Here is a 17,973-nt window from a genome sequence, read left to right as displayed (position 1 = left end):
AGCCTCCGGAGTAGCTGGGATTACAGGCGCCTGCCACAGCGCCAAACTGATTTTCGTATTTTTAGTAGAGACAGTGTTTCACCATCTTGGCCAGGCTGGTCTTGAACTTTTGACCTCATGATCCACCTGCCTTGGCCTCCCAAAGTGCTGGAATTACAGGCATGAGCCACTGTGCTCAGCCTACCACCCCTTTCAATGGCAACAACTTGACAACCCAGAAGTTATCAGCCTTTTTCTAGAAATGTCTGTATAGTCTGCCCCTTAATTTGCATATAATTAAAGGTCAATGTAAATATGACTGCAGAACTGCCCTGAGCTGCTACTCTGGTCACACTACCTACAGGGTAGCCCTGCTCTGCAAGGAGCAGTCCCTCTGCTGTTGCTATAGGCCACTGCTTCAATAAAAGTTGGCATCTAGGCCAGGTGCAGTGAGTAATACCTGTAATCCCAGCACTCTAGGAGGCTGAGGCGGGTGGATCATTTGAGGCCAGGAGTTTGAGACCAGCCTGGTCAACATGGTGAAACCCCATCTCTACTAAAAATACAAAAAAATTAGTTGGGTGTTTTGGCGCACACCTGCACTCCCAGCTACTCAGGAGGTTGAGGCGGGAGAATCACTTGAACCCAGGAGGCAGAGTCTGCAGTGAGCCACTGCACTCCAGCCTGGGTGACAGAGTGAGACCCTGTCCCGAAACAAAAAAAAGTTGGCCTCTAACACCTTCGGTTTGCCCTTGAATTATTTCCTGGGTGAAGCCAAGAACCCTCTCAGTCTAAGCCCCAGTTTTGTGGCTTACCTGCCCTGCATCAACACCAGAAACTTAACCCTTTGGGAATCTCGATCTTGGACTTTCTAGCCTCTAGAACCCTGAGAAAATGATCTGTATTATTAGGCTACCCAGTCTATGATATTCTGTTGTAGCCTGGGGTGACTAAGACATTGAACCTGTATGACTTGAATTTTGTTACCTGCTTGGCCCCTTGATGGCATTTCAGTTTGTGACTCTTGGTTTACGTGATCACGAAGCCAAAACTGTTTAGGAAGGAAGCAAAATCAAGACAGATTAAAAATAAAAAATAAAAAATAAAAGGCTGGGCACCGTGGCTCACACCCTCCCAGCATGTTGGGAGGCAAAGGTGGGCAGATCACCTGAGGTCAGCAGTTCAAGACCAGCCTGGTCAACATGATGAAACCACATCTCTACTAAAACTACAAAAATTCGCCAGGCGTGGTGGTGGGCACCTGTAATCCCAGGTATTTGAGAGGGAGGCAGGAGAATCACTGAACCTGGGAGGTGGAGGTTGCAGTGAGCCAAGATCACACCACTGCACTCCAGCCTGGGTGACAGAGCAAGACTCTCTCTCAAAAAATAAAATAAAATAAAATAAAATAAAATAAAATAAAATAAAATAAAATAAAATAAAGAGCCAAGCACGCTGGCTCACACCTGTAATCCCACACTTCGGGAGAAAGAGGTGGCAGGATTGCTTGAACCCAGGAGTTTGAGGCCAGCCTAGGTAACATGGCAAAATCCCATCTCAATTTTAAAAAAATTTTAAAAAAGAATAATAGGGCTGGGCACGATGGCTCATGCCTGTAATCCCAGCACTTTGGGAGGCCAAGATGGATGGATCACCTGAGGTTGGGAGTTCGCGACCAGCCTGACCAACATGGAGAAACCCCATCTACACTAAAAATACAATATTAGCAGGTCGTGGTGGCACATACCTGTAATCCCAGTTACTCGGGAGGCTGAGGCAGGAGAATCGCTTGAACCTGGGAGGTGGAGGTTGTGGTGAGCCAAGATCGTGCTATTGCACTCCAGCCTGGGCAACAAGAGCGAAATTCCATCTAAAAAAAAAAAAGAAAGAAAGAAAGAAATAAGGTATTTTACATAAGGATTAAAAAGAAATTAAAACCATTATTTGAAGATAATGGCTTAAACAGAAACTCTGCAAATCCTTAGAATAAAAAAGTTCAGGCCAGGTGTAGTGGCTTTTGCCTATAATCCCAGTGCATTGGGAGGCTAAGGTCGGAGGATTGCTTGAGCCCAGGAGTTTGAGACAAGCCGGGTCAACATAGTGAGATCGCATCTCTACAAAAAATTGAAAAATGAGCCAGGTGTGGCAGTGCATGCCTGTAGTCCTGGCTACTCAGGAGGCTGAGGTGGGAAGGTCACTTGAGCCTGAAGAGTTCAAGGCTACAGTGTTATGATCATGCCAGTGCACTGCACTCCAGCCTGGGAGACAGAGCAAGACCCTGAGACCCTGTCTCAAAAAACAAAATAAAAAACCCTCACTATATTGAACACAACATCAATATTCAATAGCCACTCCCCTTCTCCTTTTCTAATAAAATTCCACTTTTTTGTGTTCCATCCCAGGACCACGATTTATCTAAACTGGTCATTCTGGGTCAATAAGTTTGGCTAAAAATAAATAATATCGAAATTGGTCACAGGAAATCTATTCTTTTTTTTTTTTTTTTGAGACGAAGTCTCACTCTGTCACCCAGGCTGGAGTGCAGCAGCATGATCTTGGCTCACTGCAACCTCTGCCTCCCGGGTTCAAGCAATTCTCTGCCTCAGCCTCCCAAGTAGCTGGGATTACAGGCGCCTGCCACCACGCCTGGCTAGTTTTTGTATTTTTAGTAGAGATGGGGTTTCACCATCTTGGCCAGGCTGGTCTTGAACTCCTGACCTTGCGTTCTACCCGCCTTGGCTTCCCAAAGTGCTGGGTCTGTCACCCAGGCTGGAGTGCAATGGTGCAATCATGGCTCACTGCAGCCTCAACCTCCCTGGGCTCAGATGATTCTCCCACCTTAGCCTCTCAAGTAGCTGGGATTAAAGGCATATGCCACCATGCCCAGCTAATTTTTCTATTTTTTTTGTAGAGACAGGGCATCCCTACCTTGCCCAGGCTGGTCTTGAACTCCTGGTTTCAAAGGATCCTCCTGCTTCAGCCTCCCAAAGCACTGGGTCTATTATTCCCTTTCATATTCAAACTTAATTCTGCATTTTCAAGGCCTTGAATTTTCAAGGGCAGCTTTTTCTGTCCCTGAACTTAATCTTCAGCTCCTCTCACCTCCTGGGAGGTTGGGGGGTGGGGAAGAAAAGTCCCAACCCTCTAATCCTGCTTTGGTCTTTTGCCGCCAGCCCCCATCCTGAAGCTACCAGTCAATTTGTTTGCATACAAGAAGATATCACTTTGGAGATTCTAAGTGTATACGAGGAAATGAGGTCAAAGACCAAATATATATATTTCACTATATCACACTTCAAACTTTTGTTTACTGTTTCCCTTCTCCTACTCTATTATAAACCTTTGAGGGTGGGGACTGTGAGTTATTTATCTTTATATTCCCAGTGTCAAGAGTGTTTAGCTATAATGGGAATGAATCTCAAAGTTTCTTGAATAAATGACAAGAAGAATCATAGTTGCATGAACTAAATTCATTATTCTCAGTCCTTGAGGTAAATGAATATATTGATATTATGTCTGCTTACTCTTTTTTTGCGAGAGAGAGAAAGAGGAGGGAGGGAGGGAAGGAAGGAAAAAAGGAAGGAAGGCGAAAAGAGTGAAAGAAAAGAGAGAGAAAAAGAGAGAGAAAGAAGGAAGGGGAGGGAAGGAAGGAAAAGAAGGAGGGAAGAAGGGAAAGGGAGGGAGAGGAAGAAAAGAAAGAAGAAGGAAGGAAAGAAAGAAAGAAGAAAAGGAGGGAGGAAGGAACGAAGAAAGGGAAAGAAGGAGGGAGGGAGGGAAATGAAGGAAAGAAAGAAAAAAGAAAGAAAGAAAAAAGAAAGAAGAAAAGGAGGGAGGAAGGAAGGAGGGAGGGAAGGATGGAAGAAAGGGAAAGAAGGAGGGAGGAAGGGACATGAAGAGAATAAAGAAAGAAAGAAGAAAAGAAAAGAAAAAAGAAAAGAAAAGGGAGGGCTCTGCGGGTGGCGGCGGCGCGGGGAGCCGGTTGCAGGCCGAGATGCTGCAGATGGACCTGATCGACGCGACGGGGGACACTCCCGGGGCCGAGGACGACGAGGAGGACGACGACGAGGAGCGCGCGGCCCGGCGGCCGGGAGCGGGGCCGCCCAAGGCCGAGTCCGGCCAGGAGCCGGCGTCCCGCGGCCAGGGCCAGAGCCAAGGCCAGAGCCAGGGCCCGGGCAGCGGGGACACGTACCGGCCCAAGCGGCCCACCACGCTCAACCTCTTTCCGCAGGTGCAGTTGTCTCAGGACACACTGAATAATAATTCTCTGGGCAAAAAGTACAGTTGGCAGGATCGGGTGTCTCGATCATCCTCACCCCTGAAGACAGGGGAGCAGACACCACCGCATGAACCCATTTGCCTGAGCGATGAGCTGCCCCCCCAGAGCAGCCCCGCCCCCACCACAGATCGAGGCACCTCCACCAACAGCCCACGCTGCTGGTAGATGAGCACGCGCAGCTGGAGCCGGTGAGCCTGCGGCCGTGCTTCGGAGACTACAGTGACGAGAGTGACTCGGCCATCGTCTATGACAACTGTGCCTCCGTCTCCTCGCCCTATGAGTCAGCCATCGGAGAGGAATATGAGGAGGCCTCCCGGCCCCAGCCTCCTGCCTGCCTCTCCAAGGACTCCACGCCTGACGAACCCGACGTCCATTTCTCCAAGAAGTTCCTGAACATCTTCATGAGTGGCCGCTCCCGCTCCTCCAGTGCCGAGTCCTTCGGGCTGTTCTCCTGCATCATCAACCGGGAGGAGCAGGAGCAGACCCACCGGACCATATTCAGGTTTGTGCCTCGACACGAAGACGAACCTGAGCTGGAAGTGGATGACCCTCTGCTAGTGGAGCTCCAGGCTGAAGACTACTGGTACGAGGCCTACAACATGCGCACTGGTGCCCGGGGCTTCTTTACTGCCTATTACGCCATCGAAGTCACCAAGGAGCCCGAGCACATGGCAGCCCTGGCTAAAAACAGTGACTGGGTGGACCAGTTCCGGGTGAAGTTCCTGGGCTCAGTCCAGGTTCCCTATCACAAGGGCGATGTCGTCCTCTCTGCCGCTATGCAAAAGATTGCCACCACCCGCCGGCTAACCGTGCACTTTAACCCGCCCTCCAGCTGTGTCCTGGAGATCAGCGTGCGGGGTGTGAAGATAGGTGTCAAGGCCGATGACTCCCAGGAGGCCAAGGGGAATAAATGTAGCCACTTTTTCCAGTTAAAAAACATCTCTTTCCGCGGATATCATCCAAAGAACAACAAGTACTTTGGGTTCATCACCAAGCACCTCGCCGACCACCGGTTTGCCTGCCACGTCTTTGTGTCTGAAGACTCCACCAAAGCCCTGGCAGAGTCCGTGGGGAGAGCATTCCAGCAGTTTCACAAGCAGTTTGTGGAGTACACCTGCCCCACAGAAGATATCTACCTGGAGTAGCCGCGCAGCCCCGCCCTCTGCGTCCCCCGGCCCTCAGGCCAGTGCCAGGACAGCTGGCTGCTGACAGGATGTGGCACTGCTTGAGGAGGGGCACCTGCCACCGCCAGGGGATGAGGAAGTGGGGGCCGCTGGCTCAGGGTAGGGGAGGGTGGGGCAATGGGGAGAGGCAAATGCAGTTTATTGTAATATATGGGATTAGATTCATCTATGGAGGGCAGAGTGGGCTGCCTGGGGATTGGGAGGGACAGGGCTTGGGGAGCAGGTCTCTGGCAGAGAAGGATGTCCGTTCCAGGAGCACACGGCCCTGCCCCATCCTGGGCCATACCTCCCCTGCCAGGGCTCGGGTGCTCTGGCTCCTGCCTTGATGAAGCCCATGTCCTGCCTTGATGAAGCCTGTGCCACCTGCAAGTGCCCGCCCTGCCCCGTCCCAACACCCACCGAAGAACCCTGAGCTCAGGCTGAGCCCAGCCACCTCCCAAGGACTTTCCAGTGAGGAAATGGCAACACATGGAAGTGAAGTCCCTGTTCTCAGCTCTGTCATCTGCGGGGCTTCTGGGTGGCTCCTGCCACCGACCTCACTGGCATGCTAGCCTGTGGCAGGCCTAGGACCTCAGCGGGGAGGAGGAGCTGCCGCAAGGCCCTATCCCAGCAGGAGAGGGAGGCTTCCTGACTGACACAGGCTAGCCCCATCTTGGTCCTGTCACCCTGGCCCCAACTATTAAAGTGCCATTTCCTGTCAAAAAAAAAAAAAAAAAAAAGAAAAGAAAAGGGAGGGAGGGAGGGAGGCAGGAAGGAAGGAAGAGAGGGAGGGAGGGAAGGGAGGAAGAAAGGGAAAGAAGGAGGGAGGGAGGGAAATAGAAAGAAAGAAGGAAAGAAAAAGAAAGAAAGAAAGAGAAATAAAATAAAAATTAAAAAACCATAAGGTTAAAGTAAACCCTTTTTCTTCATACAGATTAAAACACATGACTTCAAATTACAGCTTTGCTTCTTAATAGCTTGGTGATGTAGGACGTTATGTAACCTCTCTGTGCCTCAGTTTCCTCATTTATAAAATAGGGCAATGATAATATCTAGCCCATAAGGCATTGTGAGGATTAAATGTGAAATGCTGATCACAAATACCTAGCAGCCCAATAGATACTCACTGTAATAATTATTATTTTTATAATTTCTGCAAAAGTATGGTGATGATTCTTGGGTTAACCTAAAGGCAGATTTTCTTTTATTTCTTCCTGTTTCTTTTCTTTTCCTTGTTCACTTTAAAGAATTAAAAAGAAAATTGATTCCAGCATTTTGGAATAAAAATTTGCATCAAAAAGAATTTATTCATTTTATTGACATACAAATAAAATGTCATTTGTTTATTCAATAAACATTTATTAAATGTCTGGTAAATTTCAGACATCATGCCAGGCACAGGGATGACAATGACAATAAGATGTGGTCTCTGCCCTCAGGGAGCTGATAGTCCAGGAGACTGACAAGTAGACAGGTGATTACATGCAATGTAACAAAGGCTATGATGTCATACAAGAAGACAAGTGGGAGTATGTGATGGGAGTATGGTTTTGACCAGTTCCTCCTCTTAGATTTATCCCTTTTTCTTTGGCTATAAAGCAAAAGAATTGGTCCTATTTTTTTTTCTTAACTTTGCAAATTAAACCATAAATTTTAATAACTTTATAAAGATAAAAGGCAAGCGGTCAGATTCAGTGGCTCACACCTATAATCCCAACACTTTGGGAGGCCGAGGCAGGTGGATCACCTGAGATCAGGAGTTCGAGACCAGCCTGGCCAACATCGCGAAACCCTGTCTCTACTAAAAATACAAAAATTAGCTAGGTGTGGTGGCAGGCACCTGTAATCCCAGCTACTCAGGAGGCTGAGGCAGGAGAATCGCTTGAACCTGGGAGGTGGAGTTTGCAGTGAGATGAGATGGAGCCATTGCTCTCCAGCCTGGGCTACAGAGCAAGACTCTGTCTCAAAACAAAACAAAACAAGAAGATGAGCAACTTGAATTATGGAGGACACTAGAAATAGTGTTTCCTACAGAATCAGGGCTTCCTACCAACATAGTCACTTCTAGGGTTTTCGACCTGAAAAGTTCTGTGGCATATTGTTTCTTTGCTATCCACTTTTTTTTCCCTATTTTTCCCCCTCTTTCTCTCCTCTACTTTATCTCCTAGAGATCTAGGTAGTTCCCGAAGGAATAATGCTTTACAGAGTCTAATGTTGATTTATTAGGTAAAAACAGAAAATGATTTTTTTTTTTACCCACAAGTTCCATACCAAAAAATGAATGTAAACTTCTTATGCAGTTTCACACATTGAAAATGCAGGTTATTTTAATTCCATTGCATTTTTCAGAATTCTCAATCGCAATCCTCTGACAACTGTTGAAGATCCGTATCTCTTTAAATTACTGGCATTAAAATATCGGTAAGTACTATAGTACTCTTGGGAGTCATGAGATGATTTATACTCTTTTTAAATTTTTCATCAAAGATTAAGTATTTTGCATTTAGGCTAAAATGTCATAATTTAAATTTTAACTGAGTTATTGAAAAACATTATTGGCAAAGGAAAGGATGTGTAATGGTCAAGATAGCCAGCAGGGGAAAGAGAACAGTGTTGAAGAACCCATATAGATTTGGAACATGTAGACACATGGAGGAATATTACTTAACCAAGAAAGCAAAGGGGAAAAGGTGTTCATTATTCTAAAAAGGAAGAAAAGAGTAAATATTCAAGATGGGTGAATGCAATATGAAACTGAGAAGTAAGATAATGGTAAAAAAAAAAAAAAAACAGTGTAAGACCTACTCTTGAATATCATTAATTTGATGATGCAAATCAACTTTAATTTCTTTAATAAGAGCTCTCTGGAATTTTGCGGCAAATAAACTGTTGAACTGGCTTGTTTTATAGGGAAGCCAAAATTGAAGTAATCACATGTCCTTGAATTATCTTTTTAAGTACAGAATTTTTTATTGGGGTTCATATCATGACTGTTTCGGCTTTCTTCTTCAGAGACGTGGGAACAACGCAAGTCCCACTTACAACACTTAAGAACATTCTCATGATGACCGTTGAACTGGAAAAACTGTAAGTTATTTTTTTCTTAGACTTATTTTCACCTTGTTGCGTTTTTAGGTTTGTTTTATTATTTTCTTAAGTCAGGTTTATTGAGATATAATTTTCATATACTAACATTCACCCTTTTTAAGTGTACAATTTGATGAGTTTTGACAAATGTATAGTTACATAACCACCACCACATTCCCAATATAAAGCATTTCTGTCACCTCAAAAAGGTCCCTCGTGTCCCTTTGTAGTCAATCACCTCCTCCCACCATCAGCCCCTGTTAGCTACTAATCTGATTTCCTATAGTTTTGCCTTTTCCAGAATATCTTATAAATGAAATCATATAGCATGTAGCCTCTTGTATTTGACTTCTTTCACTTAGCATAATTTTTTCTTTTTTGAGATGGAGTCTCACTGTTGCCCAGGCTGCAGTGCAGCGGCATGACCTAGACTCACTGCAACCTCCACCTCCCAGGTTCAAGTGATTCTCCTGCCTCAGCCTCCTGAGTAGCTGGGATTACAGGCACCTGCCACCACGCCTGGCTAAGTTTTGTATTTTTAGTAGAGACGAGGTTTCACCATGTTGGCCAGGCTGGTTTCGAAGTCCTGACCTCAAGTGATCCGCCCGCCTTGGCTTCCCAAAGTGCTAGGATTACACGTGTGAGCCACCTCACCTGGCCTCACTTATCATATTATTTTTTGAAATTATGCTACCATCCATGTTGCTGCACCCATCACTACAGCTGGCCCTCCAGATCTGCAGGTTCCTCATCCATGGATTCAACTAAACATGGATGGAGAATACTTGAAAAAAATGAAATATATAAAATAACTGTAAGACAACAAAAACAGTAGAAAATTTAAAATACAGTATAATTATTTACATACCATTTACACTGTATTAGGTATTTAAAGCATACCTGAGGCTATATACAAACATTATGTCATTTCATAGAAAAGACTTCAGCATCTGTGGACTTTGGTGTCGGCAGGGGGTCCTGGAGCCAATACCCTGCAGATGCCGAGGGACAACTGTTCACTCCTTTTTATTGCTCAGTAGTATTCCGGTTGTGTGGAAACCCCATCTCTACTAAAAATACACAAATTAGCCAGGTGTGGTGGCACACGCCTGTAATCTCAGCTACTCAGGAGGCTGAGGCATGAGAAGTGCTTGAAGCTGGGAGGTGGAAGTTGCAGAGTCTCCTTTACACTTGCTGTCCTCCCTCCACTGCTGCCTGACACACTCCTCCCCAGCAGTGGCCTCTTCATAGGCAAATTTGAGGAGCACCTTTCAGTTCCTGTCCTGCTTGACTTGGCCCTGATGTTTGAAATTCTTGATGAATCTTTCTTCCGGAAATGCACTCTTTCTATGCTTCCAGGAAATCTTTTTCTTGGTTCTCCAGACAACTTCTTAGACTCCTTGACGAATTCCTTCTTGTTGCCAATAATGGAAACAAACCAGCCCTACCTAAGCAAAGCACATTAAAACTCACTAGAAAGATACAGGGGAGGGGGCGCCCACTAAACCACTAAAGAGACAGGAGGTGGGGAGCTGTAGGACCAGGTTTGGGAACCTGCAAGAATCAAGACCAGAGCCCCTGAAATAGCAAGAAGCTGGAAGCACAGGAACTGTCAGAGCCGGATGGCTGTCACTGCAGTCAGCGCCTCTGATTGTTTGTTTTTGAGATGGAGTCTCGCTCTGTCGCCCAGGCTGGAGTGCAGTGGTATGATCTCGGCTCACTGCAACCTCCACCTCCTGGGTTCAAGCAATTCTCCTGCCTCAGCCTCCCGAGTAACTGGGACTACAGGAGCCTGCCACCATGCCTGATTAGTTCTTTATATTTTTAATAGAGATGGGGTTTCAACATGTTTCTCTCGAACTCCTGACCCCAGGCGATCCACTTGCCTCGGCCTCCCAAAGTGCTGGGATTACAGGCGTGAGCCACCATGCCTGGCCAGTTTTTGTATATTTAGTAGAGACTGGCTTTGCCATGTTGGCCAGGTTGGTCTCAAACTCCTGACCTCAAGTGATCCATCCACCTCCGCCTCCCAAAGTGCTGGGATTACAGGCATGAACCACTGTGCCCAGCCACCTCTGATAGTTTTCATCGTCCTCGGGCCACTTGCTCCCAAATCACGGTTCCAGACAAAAGCTTACAAGTAGTCCAGCTTTGGCCAGGCTCAGTGTGATGGTTAATACTGAGTGTCAACTTGATTGGATTGAAGGATACAAAGTATTGATCTTGGGTGTGTCTGTGAGGGTGTTCCCAAAGGAGATTAACATTTGAGTCAGCGGGCTGAGAAAGGCAGACCCACCCTTAATCTGGGTGGGCACAAGCTAATCAGCTGCCAGCAAGGCTAGAATATAAGCAGGCAGAAAAATGTGAGAGACTGGCTTAGCCTCCCAGCCAACATCTTTCTCCCGTGCTGGATGCTTCCTACCCTCCAACATCGGACTCCAAGTTCTTCAGTTTTGGAACTCAGACTGGCTCTCCTTGCTCCTCAGCCTGCAGATGGCCTATTGTGGGACCTTGTGATCCTGTGAGTTAATACTTAATAAACTCCTGTATATATTCCATTAATTCTGTCCCTCTAGAGAACCCTGACTAATACGCTCGGTGACTCACACCTGTAATCCCAGTACTTTGGGAGGCTCAGGCAGGAGGATGGCTTGAGCCCCAGAATCTTCTTCTTCTCCTTCTCCTTGTCCTTCTCTTCCCTTCCCCTTTCTCCTCTTCCTCTTCCTTCTCTTCCTCTTCCTCCTCTTCCTCTCCTTCCTCTTCCTCTTCTTCCTCTTGTTTGTTTGAGAAAGGTTCTCACTCTGTTGCCAAGGCTGGATTGTAGTGGCACAATTGTGACTCACTGCTTCTCAGCCTCCTGAGAGCCCAGGAGTTTGAGGCTGCAGTGAGCTATGATCACACTACCACACTCCTGCCTGGGTGACAGAGCAAGACCCTGTCTCAAAAAACAAACAAAAAACTCTGGTATGATAGAGGTGAATTGTCTGTTTTATCCTGATAATTCTGCTTACTTTAGTCCCGTGGTTCTCAACTGGGCCAATTTTGCTCCCCAAGTGACATTTGGCAATATCTGGGCAGAGGTCAAGGACGCTGCTTAACATCTTTTTTTTTTTTTTTGAGACACAGTTTTGCTCTTGTTGCCCAGGCTGGAGTGAAATGGCACGCTCTCGCCTCACTGCAACCTCTGCCGGGTTCAAGCGATTCTCCTGCCTCAGCCTCCCGAGTAGCTGGGATTATGGGCATGCACCATCACGCCTGGCTAATTTTGTATTTTTAGTAGAGATGGGGTTTCTCCATGTTGGTCAGGCTGGTCTCAAACTCCCAACCTTAGGTGATCAGCCCGCCTCAGCCTCCCAAAGTGCTGGGATTACAGGTGTGAGCCACCTCACCTGTCCTGCTTAACGTCTTAAAACACACAGGACAATTCCCCCATAAAAAAATGATGACCAGCCAAAAATGTCAACAGTATCAAGGTGAAGAAATTGCCATAAAGGCTTGGTAAACAGGGATGGTATGACGACACTATTGATAGGCCACATTAAAATACTTAGGGCCATATCCATTATCCCTGTTTTTATGATTTCTTCTTTGTCCCCATGCAGTTTCAGGGGCAAAATAAGGGAGTAAGTCAAAGGTGGTTCCAAATAGACATCTGGGAATCTTAGGGTGTAATATGGCCCTCATGGAGGCCCTTGCTGAGCTTAGGGCCTGATTCTGGAATCCTAGCATTGCCAAGAGAGGCAGGCTGGCAGGTGAGAAGACAAATAATGGGAGAGCCCACATATGTTGGAATTCATTTGATGGTATCTAAGCTGGGGTGATTGTCCCCACTAGCATTACATGACTATGGATCCAGTTATTTGGAGAAATCCATTTCCTCCACAGGGAATATATGCTACATTAGAACCAAAGATGGAATCCTTAGTAAATGGAATCATTTGGCAAAATTCAGTTGTCTGAAATTTTTGCATAAAATTCTCTTTTTTATTTTCATTGAGCCAAATAAATAAAGTATCAGGTATTTACTAGGGTCACCATTCTTTGATTCATTGATTTTTTTTTTCAGACAGGATCTTGCTCTGTCACCCACGTTGGAGTGCAGTGGCATAATCTCAGTTCACCGCAACCTCCACTTCCTGGGCTTAAGTGATTCTCCCGCCTCAGCCTCCCAAGTAGCTGGAAATACAGGTGTGTGCCACCATGCCCGGCTAATTTTTGTATTTTTTGTAGAGATGGGTTTTCATCATGTTTCCCAGGCTGGGTTTTTTTTTTTTCAAATGTCTTAGGGTTTTCGCTTTATTATTTCCTTGATATCCACAGCAGAAGTTCAGAGGTATAACTTCAACATTAACAGGTGAAAAGTTCTACAATGACTCGTTGCACTCCATCACATTAGAATAATTGAACTATAATTTCCATACAACACAAGAAAACTACAGTATTTAGTGACAACTGAAAGATACCTGATAAATAAATATATCAACTTACTACTCATGAAAAGAATGGAGCTGGTTATTTCAGCTATAAAAGGGCAAAGCAAAAAGACCATTTTCTAGCCATTTGAAAGTTACTCAAAAAATTGATACAATGGAATGGAAAGGAAAACAAAAAAGATTGTAAGCAACTTTAACAATGTTCTTGCATTCTACTGATACACAAACCTCTAGGGTTTCAGTTGACACAATCAAGTTCAACTTGTACTGACAGAAAATATTAAAAACCTTCCTATTGAGTTTTTAATATCAAACAGGGAGGTTAGTAAATTGTTTTCTGATTCTTCTACAAAAAAAAAGTCTAGAAGAGGGACAGGGAATGTAGTGTGCACCACTTATTATTATTCTAAGTAATAATTTTTACTTACGAGGTCAACACGAGTGCAAAGGGCTTAGTGATGCATCTTATTCTTTAATTTTGGACAGTAACACCCTCAGATGGTATTTTTATTGGTTTGTTTTATATCCCCCTTTTCCATTTGCCCTTCTGTTTTGAAGTGCTTTTTCTTAAAACTTAAGTTCTTTGCCTCCATTTTCTTATAAACCCAATTTCCTCTTTAGTGCAACTCTACCATTTGAAAGGAACCTTTCTATTGTAATTTACAAGCTGTGAATAACCGCTATGTAATTCTTTCCAAGGATTAATAAACTGAGAGATGATTTGAACCAACAGAGGTAGGGAAAGATTAGAAGGGGGATGCAAGTAGCCACAGATCTTAGAGGCGGCCAGCAGAGGGCGCTGCTCCAAGGTGAAGGTTGCACCCTGAGAGGCCATCCTTTTTTGTAGGACCAGACTGGGGTGTAAGGACAGTGCCTCATCCTCACAACGACAGACCTGTGTTCTGGGTGTGGATTTGCCTCCCTTGCCTGCGGGACTTCTGCTAGCACTGCCGTTCCTAGACTTAGACCATGCTAGAATGAGTCCAGGAACCGAGGAGAGGAGATGGGAGTGGCTCCTCCCACTGTGGCCCCTAATAATTCACATGAAGAATTTTTGCTTTCCTTGCCAGGGACCCGGGACTCAGTGGGTCCAGAGGTCCTAGTGCCAAAGGAAGAAATGTGTAGATCAGGAAATACTATTATGGTTTTATTCAACTGGAAGCCGAGGCTGGCCATTTATTGTATGTATTTATTTATCTATCTATTTATTTATTTATTTATTTATTTATTTTGAGACAGAATCTCACTCTTGTTTCCCAGGCTCCCAGGCTCAAGAGATCCTCCTACCTTAGCCTCCTGAGTAGCTGGTACTACAGTCGCATGCCACCTTGCCCAGCTAATTTTTTTTCTTTTTTTTTTTTTTTTTTGAGACGCAGTCTCATTTTGTTGCCCAGGCTAGAGTGCAGTGGCGCGGTCTTGGCTCACTGCAACCTCCACCTCCTGGGTTGAAGCGATTCTCCTGTCTCAGCCTCCGGAGTAGCTGGGATTACAGGCATGTGCCACCGCGCCTGGCAATTTTTTTTTTTAGTAGAGGCGGGGTTTCACCATGTTGGCCAGGCTGGTCTCAACTCCTGACCTTGTGATCCGCCTGCCTCAGCCTCCCAAAGCGCTGGGATTGCAGACATAAGCCACCGCGCCTGTTTTTTTTTTTGTTTTGTTTTGTTTTCTGACAGAGTCTCTGTCACCCAGGCTGGAGTGCAGTGGTGTGATCTCAGCTCACTGCAACCTCTGCCTCCTGGGTTCAAGCGATTCTCCTGCCTTAGCCTCCCAAGTAGCTGGGATTATAGGCGCACGCCACTATGCCCAGCTAATTTTTGTATTTTTAGTAGAGGTGGGGTTTCACTGTATTGGCCAGGCTGGTCTCAAACTCCTGACTTCAGGTGATCCACCCACCTCGGCCTCCCAAAGTGCTGGGATTATAGGTGTGAGCCATCAAGCCCAGCCCTGCCCAGCTAATTTTTACACTATGGGCAAGTATGCTGCCCAAGAGTGCTCTGGAACTCCTGGGCTCAAGTGATCTTCCTTCCTCGGCCTCCCAATGTGCTTGGATTACAAGCATGAGCCACCTTGCCCAGCCGAAGCTGGCCATTTAAAGTTCCTCATGCTGCTGAATCAATAAGGATGGAAGGCGGCTACTATTATGGGCTAAGTGTTTGCATCCTCCCCAAATTCTTTTTTTTTTTTGAGATGGAGTTTTGCTCTTGTTGCCCAGGCTAGAGTGCAGTGGCGCGATCTCTGCTCACTGCAACCTCCACCTCCCAGGTTCAAGTGATTCTCCTGCCTCAGCCTCCCGAGTTAGCTGGGATTACAGGCATACGCCACCACACCCGGCTAATTTTGTATTTTTAGTAGAGATGGGGTTTCTCCATGTTGGTCAGGCTGGTCTCAAACTCCCGACCTCAGGTGATCTGCTGACTTCAGCCTCCCAAAGTGCTGGGATTACCGGCATGAGCCACCACGCCCAGCCCCCAAATTGTTTTTTTTTTTTTTTTTTTTTGAGACGGAGTCTTGCTCTGTCACCCAGGCTGGAGTGCAGTGGCATGATCTTGGCTCACTGCAAGCTCTGCTTCCCGGGTTCACGCCATTCTCCTGCCTCAGCCTCCCGAGTAGCTGGGACTACAGGCGCCCGCCACCACGCCTGGCTAATTTTTTGTATTTTTAGTGGACACGGGGTTTCACCGTGTTAGCCAGGATGGTCTCGATCTCCTGACCTCGTGATCTGCCCGCCTCGGCCTCCCAAAGTGCTGGGATTACAGGCGTGAGCCACCGCGCCCCGCCTCGACCCCCAAATTCTTATGTTGAAGCCCTCACCTCCATGTGATGGTATTAGAAGGTGGGGTCTTTGGGACGTAATTAGGCTGACAGTGCCCCATGATGGGATGAGTGTCTTAAAAGAAAAGACCAGGTGGTCTGGCTAGTGGCTCACCCCTGAAATCTCAGCACTTTGGGAGAAAAGACCAGGTGGTCTGGCTAGTGGCTCACCCCTGAAATCTCAGCACTTTGGGAGGCCAAGGTGGGTGGATCACTTGAGATCAGGCGTTTGAGACCAGCCTGGGCAATATGGTGAAAAGCCATCTCTACTAAAAATACAAAAATTAGCTGGGCGTGGTGGCGCAAGTCTGTAATCCCAGCTACTTGGGAGGCTGAGGTGGGAGAATCGCTTGAACCCGGGAGGTGGAGGTTGCAGTGAGCCCAGATCATGTCATTGCACTCCAGCCTCCAGCCTGGACAGAGAGAGCATCTGAGAGTCTCTGTCTCAAAACAAAAAGAAAAAAAAAAAAAAGAAGAGACCAGAGAGCCTTTCTTCTCTTTGTCCACCAAGTGAAGATATAGCAAGAAGGCAGCCATCTGCAAGCTAGGAAAAGAGCCCTTGCCAGCACCCAATCATGCTATCACCCTGATATGGGACTTCCCAGCCTCCAGAACTGTGAGAAATCAATGTCTGTTGTTTAAGCCACCCAGTATGTAATAGCAGCCTGAGCTAACTAAAACCATCACCGAACTAGCCTCTTTACCTATGATTAGCAAGAGGAAAATGGCTCTGTTACTTAGTAGAGGAAGGAGGCTATGTCTGAAAGCCAAAAATTCACTGGGGACACATCTTAGCAGGCTCTTGACCCTAAGACCTGGTTAATGGAAAAGTAGAGCAACCCAATAAAAACAAGACCACCAAGAAGTCAGGTCTTATGGAATAAAGTATTGAGTGTCCCTATGAGGCACAGAACCCTTCGAAAGGGGATTGGAAGAAGTGGTGGAAGAAGGCGGCTATGATTATCAACTTAGACTTCATCGCCATTTGTAGAAGGAGGCTTCTAACAGCTATGTTTTATGTTAATTGGCTCTTTTCTTTTTTCTTTCAACCTTATATTAAGAGCACTGGCAGAAGCTAGCGGTTTTGGTATCCTGTAATTATTAGTTGTATAACCTTGGCCAAGTAACTCAACCTTTCTGTGCCTCAGTTACTCATCTGTAAAACAGGGTAATAAGTCTCAACCTCGTACTTATGTTGTTATAAAGATTTAACACTAGGCTGGGCATGGTGGCTCACACCTGTAATCCCAGCACTTTGGGAGGCCGAGGAGGGTGGATCACCTGAGGTCAGGAGTTCAAGACCAGACTGGCCAACATGGCAAAACCCTGTCTCTACTAAAAATACAAAAAATTAGCTGGGTGTGGTGGCACGTGTTTGTAATCCCAGTTACTCGGGAGGCTGAGGCAGGAGAATTGCTTGAACTAAACCTGGGAGGCGGAGGTTGCAGTGAGCCAAGATCGTGCCACTGCACTCTAGCCCAGGCAACAGAGTTAGACTCTGTCTCAAAAAAAAAAAAAAAAAAAAAAAAATTAACACTTTGAACAAAAAAGAAAAAAATAATAAAATTTAAAAAAGATTTAACAATTGGGCCAGGCATGGTGGCTCATGCCTGTAATACCAGCACTTTGGGAGCGTGAAGATGGAGGATTACTTGAACCCAGGAGTTCCAGACCAGCCTGGACAACAAAGCAAGACTTTGTTTCTACTTTAAAAAAAAAAACCAAAGTCAGGTGTGGTGGTACACACCTGTGATCCCAGCTACTTGGGAGGCTGAGATGGGAGGATCCCTTGAGCCTTGGAGGTTGAGGCTGCAATGAGCCATGATCATACCACTGCACTCCAGCCTAGGCGACAGAGTGAGGCCCATGTCAAAAAAAAAAAATTATCCCCAACATTTAGCAGCTTAAAACAAAAAACATTTATTATATCACACTTTCTGTGGGTCAGGAATCTGGGAGGGACTTAGCTGGGTGGTTCTGCTCAGTTCTCTTGGGATGTTTCAGTCAAGCAGTGGCCTGGGGCTGCACTCTTATCTGAAGACTCAATTGGGAGAAAATATGCATTCAAGGTCACTCGTTGGTTGTTGGCAGGCTGTAGTTCCTCACTGAATATTGGTTGAAGACTTCATTGGCTTACTACCTGGACTTCTCCACACACTGCCTGAATGTCCTCCCCACATAGCTAGAGTGAATGAACTAAAAAAGAGAGAGAACACACACAGCC

At 46.1% G+C, this 17,973-nt stretch overlaps 1 pseudogene across 1 annotated transcript, besides 1 other annotated feature; it reads left to right on the top strand.

Annotated features, from left to right (window-relative positions):
• Nucleotides 1-4,406: 4,406 nt before the first annotated feature.
• Nucleotides 4,407-6,168, top strand: MAPK8IP1P2 (mitogen-activated protein kinase 8 interacting protein 1 pseudogene 2; annotated as a pseudogene). Its single transcript, NR_026901.3, has one exon. The product of NR_026901.3 is annotated as a mitogen-activated protein kinase 8 interacting protein 1 pseudogene 2 (transcript).
• Nucleotides 4,981-5,678: an enhancer, noted in NCBI's record as "H3K4me1 hESC enhancer chr17:43677957-43678654 (GRCh37/hg19 assembly coordinates)". NCBI's record gives its function as "activates a minimal SCP1, AML or CMV promoter by ChIP-STARR-seq in naive H9 embryonic stem cells {active_cell/tissue: H9 hESC(naive)}" and the evidence as "EXISTENCE:reporter gene assay evidence [ECO:0000049][PMID:30033119]".
• Nucleotides 6,169-17,973: the final 11,805 nt, after the last annotated feature.

This window comes from Homo sapiens, chromosome 17 (genome assembly GCF_000001405.40).
Source record: "Homo sapiens chromosome 17, GRCh38.p14 Primary Assembly".
NCBI lineage: Eukaryota > Metazoa > Chordata > Mammalia > Primates > Hominidae > Homo > Homo sapiens.
Note: the sequence above shows the minus strand (reverse complement) of the source record. Positions and strands in the feature narration are given on the sequence as shown.